Genomic DNA, 12,198 nt, shown 5'->3' on the forward strand with positions numbered 1-12,198 from the left:
TATACCCAAAGGATTATAAGTCATGCTGCTATAAAGACACATGCAAACATATGTTTATTGTGGCACTATTCACAATAGCAAAGACTTGGAACCAACCTAAATGTCCATCAATGATAGACTGGATTAAGAAAATGTGGCACATATACACCACGGAATACTATGCAGCCATAAAAAATGATGAGTTCATGTCCTTTGTAGGGACATGGATGAAGCTGGAAACCATCATTCTCAGCAAACTATCAGAAGGACAAAAAACCAAACACCACATGTTGTCACTCGTAAGTGGGAATTGAACAATGAGAACACTTGGACACAGGAGGGGGAACATCACACACCGGGTCCTGTTGTGGGGTGGGCGAAGGGGGGAGGGATAGCATTAGGAGATATACCTAATGTAAATGACGAGTTAATGGGTGCAGCACACCAACATGGCACATGTATACATATGTAACAAACCTGCAGGTTGTGCACATGTACCCTAGAACTTAAAGTATAATAAAAAAATTTTGTAATAAGGAGTCTTCTATAGAATACAACCAAAAGATGGATATTGATATGCAAATTTGAATAGTCCATAGATCAAATTATGCTCCCTTAAATGTCACAACTATATTCAATAAAAGGTTGAGATATGAAATAGAACAATACTATAATATACTCCTTTTTGGAGATTATTTTGCTTTTAAAACCTATTTATTGCTTTAAAAAAACTATTGCTTTTAAAAACTATATATGACATATGCACAGAAAAAGTCTAGAACAATATCCATCCTAATCTTAATAACTTTTTCAGATAACAAAAACATTATTTTTTAATGTTTTTGTTACCTTTTCAAAATCTACATTATGTATATACTATTATTGTTCTATTTCCTAGCTTAAAAAAGAAAAACAAAACTTTTTAGACAGGCAGCCATGTTGCATTTCTAGCCAACATCAAACATAATGAGTGGCACATAGTAGGTGCTCAGTGGAAGTGCAATGGGGCGGGACGCAGTGGCTCACATCTATAATCCCAGCACTTTCAAAGGTCAAGGTGAGAGGATCATTTGAGCTCAGGAGTTTGAGGCTGCAGTAAGCTGTGATCATACCACTGCACTCCAGCCTGGGTGACAGAGGAAAAACATGCCTCTAAAAAGAAACAAAAAGGGGAGTTGGGGAGGCAATTGATGTCTTTTAGATATAGCTTCTGCCTACTGGACAGTAGTTCTATAAAGGGATTCCAGGATAATGTAAGCCCAAAAAGCTCAATGATGTGAAAAGGCAGCAGTCAATTTTCACAGGAAATAGGCTACTAAGTATAGGAAATCATTTCTATGTTGTATTCTTAGGACACAGTAACCACTTTTCTCTTTGAAACTATTTTGAGTGATTTATTATAAATTTATAATGACAGTTGTGAACACCTCTCGCTCTTTTTTTTTTTTTTTGGCATGAGAACAGTCTGTTGATTGCCCTAATGCCTAAAATAGTTTCTAAGTGTCCTCACAATAGCATGTCACCTGTAAACAGGTTTCAAGCCAATGCAAATTAACAAATGGTGAACAGATGGACTAAGAACTGACTTTTGTCAAGAGAGAGTTAGCAACAAATACTTTTTGGCTCCAGTCTTATGGGACCATTAGAAAGTCTTTTACTTCTCGCCAAACATCTTGCCTCAGTAGACAATCCATGCAGGGAAAATGACAAGTTACAAGGCCCATTAGACTTTAGAGAGCTGAAAGTTGAGATTTGCAGAATCACCAAATCGACACATGAGAAACAACAGATAGAATAATGGCCCTTAAGAAGCATTCTGCCAAATAGTCAAAACTCTGGCTTGCATCACTAAAAGCAGCTGTCCCTGTAGTGACCTTCTTTTTGAAAAATATGGCCCCTGTGCATGCAAGCAACAGACACAAGCTACTTGTCGAGGCTGGCTGGTTACATTCCTCCTATCCTGGAAGCAAGTGTGAACTGTGAAGAAAGCCTGAAAATCATGGAAGTGGTGGCATAAGAACGTCCACCAGCTAGAGAAAGGATCCCCAGAGCAGTCACCCCTTGGGATCCCCCCGGCTCTTCACTGGTCTTTCTCCTCCTCATTCGTCAAGTCTCTGCCTCATATTGGCTCCTCAGAGAAGCCCTCTTTGATCACCCTATTTAACAGTATCCCCCACTCCCATACCTTACCCCACTCTGTAGTCCCTTCCTAGCACTAAGCATAACTACAAATTATGGCGTTAATTTATTAATTTGTTGAGGGGTGCTTGTTTGGTCTCCTCCCACCCCCGAAATGAAAAGCTTAACAAAGATGGGACAATGTCTGTCCTGCCCATGTTTATATCCTTGGGGCCTAGAAACATGCCTGACACAGAGTAGGTACAATAAATATTTGCTAACCAAACAGCAAATGAGACCTTGAGCAAAGGTAAACAATCAACTCATATATGCCAACACTCCCTTGGACTAGAAAAGAATGCTGTTTGTAACTGAGGATGTAATCAGAAGAAGGTACAAGGGGTGAGCAGGACAGGCGAAGGAACGCTTCTCGGGCATCTGGCCCTCCCAGAGGAGTGTGCACACTGACAGGAAATGGACTGATGTGCCCACATTTCTCATTCCACATCACTGAGTGAGCCTTTGCACTCACCTACTAGGGCTTCTAATACAAAAGAACCCAACAGGTTGAACGAACCAAGTGGATGAATCAAATGTGGCATATTCAAAGGAAGACTACACTGCAACAGAAAAAGGACAACAGGATGAATCTAACACATATGATGTTGAGTGAAAAGAAGCTCATACAAAAAAATGACACTGCATGATTCCGTTTAAATGAAGTTCAAAGACAGGCAATATTAACTGTTTAAAGAAGTCAGAATGGTGTTAAACTTGGGAAGGAGGGCAGCACAGGTATAGACAGAGAGCAATGAGGAGGAACCCTTATGGGATTCTGGAAGTGGTGGCTACACGGATGTACATGAGTGTGAAAAAATCATTAAACTGTATGCTCTGTGAAGCTTACTGTATCTGTTATCCTTCCTAATGGGAAAAAGAAGAGCACATATATTACTATTTTTAAATGTGAACGAATGAACCTAGCATTTATTCTAATCTCAGCTCTAGCAGGTTCTCTAGGTGGTCTGCAGCTTAACCAAATGTGCTCCTCAGCTGTCTCATTTATAAAATAAGGACAACTGTACTCATATTCTACCACCTTTGGGAATGTGATAAGGAAACAAATAATAAGCCGTGAGGTCTCTTAAAATCCTAGGTGGAAAAGTCACATACAAAATATGTAAAATAAACTGCATTACAGCTGTTTCACAAAGATCTATGCAAATTATGTTACCATCATGCTTGGTTTCTAATCCTAATAGATGCCTTTTTAAAAGAAAGAAATAATTCTGGGCCGGGTGTGGTAGCTCATACCTGTAATCCCAGCACTTTGGGAGGCCGAGGCAGGTGGATCACCTGAGGTCAGGAGTTCGAAACCAGCCTAGCCAACACAGTGAAACCCCATCTCTACTAAAAATACAAAAATTAGCTGGGCATGGTGGTGTGCGCTTGTAATCCCAGCTACTTGGGAAGCTGAGACACGAGAATTGCTTGAACTCGAGGGGGTGGGGGAGGGCAGAGGTTGCAGTGAGCCGAGATCATGCCACTGCATTCCAGCCAGGGTGAAAAAGTAAGACTCCGTCTCAAAAAAAGGAAGGGAGGGAGGGAATTTTGAAGAAAACAGTAACTTTCCACTACCCAAAAACAAGTATAAAGTAAAAAAGTTCACCCAGTACTAAAGTAATTTTTCAAATCCATCACTCACTGAGGTGGTAGGACAAGAGTTGTGGGCTGAGCCTTTGGTCTACGTTTGGCAGATACTCCCATCTGATTAGCGGAACGCTTCAATGACTGCTGATTTAAAAGGCCAGATGCTAGTCCTGCATGGTACTGCAACTGCAGAGAAAAACAAAACAAAAGGGGAAGAAAAATAGCATTTGGTAAAAGTAGGACAAATGGTATTAAACTAGCAATGCTTGATAATCTTATCCCCTTAGAACATTTTAAGTAACTTCAAATACAACTGCTCACATTCTGCTTCAAGGAATTTACCCATAAAAAGATAATCAGACAAACAGGAAACAAAACAAGAACAAGACTGTTCATCACAGCATTACCTCATGATGAAAAACTGGAAGCAGTCGGAATGTCCAACAACTGACTGTGAAATTGATTAAAATAGAGAAAGAACTTCACAACACCATTTTGTTGAATTAAAAGAAAAAAGGTTCCATTGTAAACAGAGAGGCACTTTAAAAAATGTTCTCTAAAATGCTAACTGTATTTTTCAGTAGTAGAATTCGAGTGATTTTTACTTTCTTCTTTATTTTTGACTACTATTCATATGCTTTATGTAAATGGTTTTAAAGCCTACGTAATTTTTTAATAAGAAAATCCAGAGGTTTTCCTTAGAGACAAAGTTAGTTCTGGGAAGTCTTGCTACCACCATATCTTGCTTATAATAAAAACCATAGAATTTGTAGTCTACCGCAGTACACCATGACCACGACATGGCTTATCATACACAGATTCAAACATACTATCAGTCTGCATTCAGAACCACTGAGCTATCTTTTCAATGGTTAAATTACAAATATCAATCATAAGAACAAGCTTATGAATATATCTTACAACAATGTATACAAATGGATATAGGCTCATTGAAAAGAATCGAATGGAGAAGCCAATTTCAAGTCCATGGACATGCAATTGGAACAATGTCATGGAGGTAAGGAAGCAGCATGCTTTAAATGTGTCTGGTGCCAGCATCCCTTACTTGATCCCTGGACAAACTGCTGAGCTTCATGGTGACTTAGGATAGATAACTTTACTTCTCTATACTTCAGTTTCTTATTGGGAAAGAGAAATGATACTGCCCAGTTCTAAACCAAACAAAACTTTGAATTCTAATTTACGTAAAATATAATATGCACATTTAAAGTGAACAGTTTAATGAGTTTTGACAAATGTATATACCTGTATAACTACCACCCCAAGCAAGACAAAGCAACTTTCCATCATTACAGAAAGCTCATTTGTGCCCTAACGCAGTCAATCCCCTTAGCACCTAACATCAGGAAATTCTGATTTAAAATATAACTCATCATTCTCACTCCTTGCTAAATGAAGTTTATATCCAATTTGACGTGTGACAATAACTTTTAGCTTCCCTTTCTAATTCTATACTTTTGTATTTTAGATCATAAGAGTTGTCATCAATATCGCTATAATAAAATTATCCTTGAAAGGTATCCCAATTTTGAGCAGATGTAAATAAAAGATTCACATGTGAAAATGCCAAGCTAAGAACTTGGATAGAGACCATTTATAACATCCAATATGTTTCTTCCTCTCTTCTCAGATTAAGCAAGGTCTTTCAAACATTTATTTAGAATTATCTAAACATACAAATAGTAATTCATTCTAAAGCTCTGAATCAATTTCTTCTCAAAATGCTCTTCCAAGGCACAGATTTTCTTTGCCGAGTCAGCTGCATTACAGCTCACGGTAATGAAACTGGCGACCACCATATAAAAGGGGCTGGGCCTTGGATGCAAAGGGCAATAATGTTCTGAAAAATAAATGGCCTCACCTAAAGCCATAGGGCTGCATGCAAATAGAGAGCAAAGACAACAAAACCAATTGAAATGATCTGCTCCTGGAAAGTGGCTATAAAAATGAGGCTATCCAGTGATCCAGTATGACAGAAGTATCTGTGTTTGGAGCATCCGTACTGCTTTTTAACAGGCTCTTGATTTACTTGGTCGATTTGCTGTGGGAGCCTTACAGGTGCCCAATACAAGACAAACATACATCACATTCATAATAAAGATGGAGCTCTTTTCAGGGTAGAAAGGGGGGAGCATAATTTGGCTCTAACAACTCATCTTAGACCAATGAATTTTCCTCAAATTTGTTTTTTTCCTACAGATTTCTTAAATGGGAAATCAATGGAGGCAAGGGACAGTACAAGTTTGAAAGACAATGTTTCAAAATGTCAGCTACTTGGGTTTCGATCTTCCCTGCCAGAATTTGCAATGAGTGCAATATGCATGGGGCTTTATGGAATTACAGGGAAAGACAGCTTGGCAGGGGCCTCCTCCTGGCTCAAGGAATCGACTCTCCTTTTGGCTTTCCTCCTTTGTATTTACTAGGGTCCATGCAAGCTCAGCCATTCCAGCCCTGCTGACTCTTTGAGTGGAGGAGGCCTGCTAACTATGCAGAGTGGCAGGGTGATTTTGCCCACCCGGCATCATTTTGATCATTTGCTCAAACAAACAAACAAACAAAAACCCAAAACAGCAGAAATGTACGCTAACTGCTATCTGTCTTTTAAAGGGTTCCTCTGAAACCTCAACCATCTTGGATGCTCTCAGTGTACAGTGCACCTCTAACAGCACACATAGGTGGAAGGACTCTTCTTCCCCCAAAACAAAATCTGCCCTTGAGAGCTGACTCATAAGGATTAAGCAGCACTTGTTAATCATATATATGTATCCCAGTTTCCAGGAACACGGCTCTGACTGTCAAGATCTATAAGGGGCCCATTAAATATTTACTGAACCACCTTTATAATGGGAGAAAAGGTCAAAGTTAATAAAACTGACAGGCAGCTCCTGTCCAACTGGATTATACATTATTTAAGCACCAAAACTCCATTCCATGCAACACAGTTTAGATCTGAAGAGGCTCCTGGAAAATGTTCACTCAGCCAATGGTTCTAAAACAGCAGAAGGGAGTTCAGAGTGAATCTACAAATTAACATTAGAAACATATAACTCCCCAAAATACCGCCATAAGTTCTCAATTACAGGTTCTGTAATATTTTCTATAAAAATATATTTCAATAAACATACTTCTCTCCAAATGTCTGCAGCATGGAAACAAGTCTATTTCAAAAAGCAACTTATCAAAGTTCTATTGTGATTTTTCTATCAAAGATCCTCCACTAACCGGGAGGAATAAAAATGAAAGAAGGAGAGAAATGATCTATTCTTTTAACTTTCATATCTTACAAGTGCGGGGAATGGGAGTGTTTATGTGCTGAGTTGGAGGGGAAGGTTCGTGATTTACTGTTAAGTTACTGCTCCACAGGAACAGCCATTTCCGTGTTGCAGTGTTCTCTGGATTTTTTAGAGTATTTCTCTCAGTTACAATTTCACTATCCATTAATTTCCACTTTCTATTTTCTATGAATGACCTAGGATTTTTCTATCAGTTCTCAACCTAAAGCCCTTTCTAACCAATTATATCTACTAATTACCTCTATACCTGAGAAAATTTTAACAATTAATAATGGTCTGAGGAAAGACCAATTAAAATTAGGAAAACTTTGATCTACTGAATCGTTTTTAAAATAATGCTGTTTTAGTCTTATTGAACACGTAAGAGGCTCCAAGTTGTCAGGCAGGGTCCTGACGAAATGTAAGTGGGAGAGGAAGCGCCTCTGTAACCAGCAGCCTCTTTGGAAATGTGCTCCTGGGCTTTGCTGCTACCAAACTGGGTGACCTTACACATCTCCTGTCCCTCTCTAGAAAATATGCATGACATTTTCTCTGAGGACCCCCAAACTCTAAAATTCAATTCCTTTGTATTTCTAAAGGTAGAAAGGTATTTGATGTGAAGGAATGTCCCTACAACATTAATACAAGAGACTTAACAAATCTTTTTCTGTTGGATAGCCAAGGTCTTTACAGAATCCTCTTTTAAAGAGTCCAAACTACTGGGAGTCCAAATTCAATTAGCTTTAATACGCTTCAAATTACAAATAACAACAAATACTGGAAGCAAATGATATAAAAGGAAATGATAAAAACAGGATTCAAATGCAAAGTTTCTGACTTAAATCTTGAGTTCAAGAAATCAGATGAGCAATCACCCCTCTCCCGTTCATTCTCCACTTGCATGATGTCTTCTGCATTGTTCTGAATGCTTCTACCCGCCCCAAAATATTCATAGGTTAATGTTTTGCACTGGACCAAAGTTTGAAAAGAGAACAGAAGGAAATTCATCACACCGATCATGTTCAATATACTAATGAAGCCAGTGGCATTCAATTAGGCCTAGTACTTAAAAGCTGAAGTGTATGCTGGAGCCTCCCTGGGGTCCCTGCTACAGCATCCCATCATATGCAGCACTGCTCTACCCTTGCCATCTGGCCCGAATCCCACTTTAAGAGAACCTGACATTTGAAAACCTCAAAACTTATAAGCCAGATCAATCAAGATTTGATTCTTCTCACTATGAAAATCACTATTCCTTTCTCAAGATTCACCAAAGGCTTCTTTAAGGGTAAAGGGGAAAAAAGAGCTCTCCTGGACGTAAGTTATGATTCACTTTATTTTTTTTTTAAATCACTTTGCATATAATTACATATAAAGGCAAAGAATGGCATAGAATTAAGTTATAATAAATTCTGTCTGGCTTAGACCAGAGGACCCACAGGAGGGCAGAAGAGATCAAGGGGGTAGGGAGCCCCACCATCTCCTCTGCCAGTCACTCTAGGCCAATTTCCTTCTCCAAGCACAAAGCTCCGGTCTGTACTGGGAAAAACGCCCAGAAAAGACAGCCTTGTGTTATTCCTGGGTCTGGGAGTGAAGCTGCCACCCAGGGAGTCTTATCTCTAGGGCACAGACCTTGTTATTGATGACTCTATTCTGTACAATGTCCAGGATAGTGCATTGAATACAGGTGATGCTAATGAATTTGTCAGCTAACAAGTAGACTGGCAGATTCATGGGAATGCTGGCTTGGCTTGGCACTGCAACCAATCTAGAACAGACTGCCTCCATCTGACAGTCCTCTTATGGCTGGCCTCTTACGAAAGCAAACACACTGCTTTCTAGGTGCTCACTGTCAAGATAGAACCACAGAAGAAACCTTTTTTCCTCTTATTCCAGTTGCCCAGAAAGTGGGTATGTTCACAGGCTTGAGCTTGGACCAAGCTCAAAAGAAAAGGGGTCCATAGGGACTGCCCCTAGATGACTTCAAATCACAGAATTTAACAATAGAGAAAGGCCAAAGTAGATGCCAATCTTCCCCCCTACCCACAACCCCATTTCACATGAGAGGAGATGCCAGCCTTAAAGAGGTCACTGACCTCAGGTCACACCATTCGCAGGAGGACGGTGGGCCATACAGGGTTTGCCTTAATAGCTCTGTCCCGCGGGGATAGGTATGCTGCATCTTTCTAACTGGAGGTACTGATGTTTATCTTCCCTTCGGCAACAGAACACAGCGATCCCCCCTGGATGAGAGCTGGCCCATGCCAAGCAGGCAGCCACGTTCCCATCACCAGCCTCTCCTGGCTCCTGCTTGTCATGATAGAACTCTTCACTCTGCCCTCCTGCAGGCGCTGAGACGTTGCATGCTTTTCCCTCCCACTGACTCCAGTCATGTGTTAGGTGGTGAGTTTGAAGAAGTTTTAAACTCTGTTGTCTTCAAGTTTTAATATTCACAGTTAAATACTTTAGAGAAAAGAAATCAAGAAACCATAGTTTCATCAGAAAATCTAAATTCCAGATGCACAGTGGCATGTTGAACCTTCCTAGCAGTTTTGATATGGCTGTGTCACAGAGCAGTTGTGCTTCTGTCTAACGGGTTTCTAGGAGATTCCACATGTATACTCTGTTTCTACTGAAGAATTCTCTTTGCAAATGTATGTTATATATAATGATAGCAAGCAAGGACACCAGTGCCACTTCCCCTGTAGATCACTGACCAAAACAGCCAGAGGTGGCTGGCGTAAGTGCACTGAAAATCCTTCCAATGTATAACAGAACACACCAAAGCCCACAGCCACAACCTAAGGACCCATGACACCTGGAACAATCCACACTGTGTACACCTGAATCAAGTCACACCCCATACAGCTGGGATGTGTGTTGCGACACTGCAAGGTAGGGTGCTAATCTGAGAGTCTCACATAGTCATGTTTCCCCAGACCATTAAGCTTTCAACTAGAACTAAGATTTCTGCAACATCAGGAAACTTTGTCACCACTGTGAGTTGCAAGGACCTTTGCCCCTCATTACTGAAATATGTTTTGTTTCCAGCTAATGAGAAAGAATCATGTATTACAATAGAGTTCTGGTTCTTCTTTTGAACATAACTCCAAGCAAAAAACAGGCAAGCTTGTCTGGTATTATCTGTGCCAAGGAAAACAGCTACAGAAAAATACCATAAATCTAATTGTTTTGCTTGGGTTTTAATCTAAATATCAGATGATGATATTAGCTTCTTTCCTCCTTTTATCTCCTAATGCTTCTTTCAAATAGCCAATAGTTTAGAAAAAAACACCTTAGACTTGAGCTTTTATGGGTAAATAATCTTTTTACTTGGTCAAAACAGCATCAATAAACCATAAGAAGGAAGCCTCCAATTTACTTGCCTATTTGTTCTCTCCTGGAAGCTCGGTTTCACAGCTCCTTCAATTACTAGGAAAGCAGGACAGCAAATCAGGGCTGCGCTTCCTGCTCCACTGTGGCATTATTTATATGCTAAATGCCATTTGAGTTTCTTTCTTCCCTACATATTAGTGCTCAAATGTCCAAACTTCAAAAGCTATCCAAGAAGTAAACAGAGACGATGGATAGCAGCCCTTTTCTTTCTTAAATATCTGTAATGGTTAGGGTTGTTTAGATTGTTCTACTGCAACTCCCCAGAATTTGCACCTTTATTAATAGGACTTTCTCCACAACTGCTCCTGTTTACACTACAGCTGTATGCATGTTATCATCCTTCAAAGGTGCCAGTCCAATAGAAGGAGAATGACTCACATATCTGAATGAATTCACTAACAAAGCAAACTAAAATGTGGCTAACAATGGAAGAAACAACCATCATAGGGATTATTATTTGTAAAGGGAAAGAGAAAGACAACAGAAGAAAGGGAAAAAAAGGGAAGATGAGCAGCTAAGAAAAGACAGACGAGGGTATATAAAAATTGGTGTTTTCCTGTCTCCCAGGAGCCCCCTCTCACTTCACACCAGGTGCTCACCCCATCTGCCTTGCATGGTCTGAGAGAGCAATGGACAGGGTCATAAAGAAAGATCATGTTGGAGAGTCACCTGGTGTCAGGGGTTGAACGTTTTTGTCTCCCCAAAATTCTTCTGTTTCAATACACATTGGCCTAATTCCCAATGTGATGGTATTTGAAGCTGGGGACTTTGGGAGATAATCAGGTTTAGATAAGGTCATGAGGGTGAAGGCCCCATGATGGGATTAATGCCCTTATAGGAAGAGGAAGAGGAAGAGATCAGATTTCTCTCTCTCCACCATGTGAGGATATAGCAAGAAGGTGACCATCTGCAAACCAGGAAAAGAGCCCTCACCAGACACCAAATCTGCCAGCAACTTGACCTTGGACTTTCCAGCCTTCTGAACTGTGAAAAATAAATGTTTGTTGTTTACCCCAGTCTATGGCATTTTATTACAGTGGCCTAAACTAAGACACATGGCCACTTAAGAAGATGCAGGCCAAAAATATAAATAGGATCAATGCAAAATTTGACAACACAGTAATGAGAGCATCATGACAGATTATTGACAGGCGGTGACAATGAATGAGAATATGCCCTCTGAAGAGGGACAACATGGTGGGCTATCTTGTTTGCCTATGTTTCTACTGGGGGAAGAAGGCCACGTCAGATGCACCATCATGTTCTTGTCACCAGCTAAGGTTGAACCACCCCAGAATCCTTATCCATTTGCATATTATACTTCTGGACTCAAGAAAAACAGATTGTGCATCTGATCTTTCAGTTATTAACCAAAGACAGAAGTAACAGGGAAGAATGACACATCTCAGGATTATCTTTATATTTCTACCAGAAATGTAGGACATTAGTTTTTAAACACGTACTTAAGGCCTGAATCAAAAGTCTACAAAGGAAGGCTAGAATTATGTCTGAGGTCCTAACACTGAAATCCTGTATTATAAATATTACTTTGAGCAGTCTGCGCTTGACTTCCTAGTACAAAAATCAACATCAGTGAAATTTAAATATGGAATGCAAACATTTTACTAGTCACCAAAAGTCTCCAATTAAGGCAGCTAGTGAGGGGTTGGTGTATTAGTCCATTTTCGCACTGCTGTAAAGATACTTCCAGAGACTGGTAATTTACAAAGGAAAGAGGTTTAATTGACTCGCAGTTCCACAT

General features: G+C 39.9%; 1 protein-coding gene across 5 annotated transcripts in view; it reads right to left on the reverse strand.

The window, feature by feature from the left end:
* The window catches only part of MED27 (mediator complex subunit 27), a 219,756-nt gene that overhangs the window by 150,423 nt on the left and 57,135 nt on the right, over window positions 1–12,198 (reverse strand). For all 5 annotated transcript variants that reach the window (NM_001253881.2, NM_004269.4, XM_017015329.2 and 2 more), the window contains exon 3: window positions 3,803–3,933. In NM_001253881.2, coding sequence (NP_001240810.1) covers window positions 3,803–3,933 — 131 coding nt within the window. The remainder of the gene's footprint in view (window positions 1–3,802; window positions 3,934–12,198) is intronic.

This window comes from Homo sapiens, chromosome 9 (genome assembly GCF_000001405.40).
Source record: "Homo sapiens chromosome 9, GRCh38.p14 Primary Assembly".
Taxonomy (NCBI): Eukaryota; Metazoa; Chordata; class Mammalia; order Primates; family Hominidae; genus Homo; species Homo sapiens.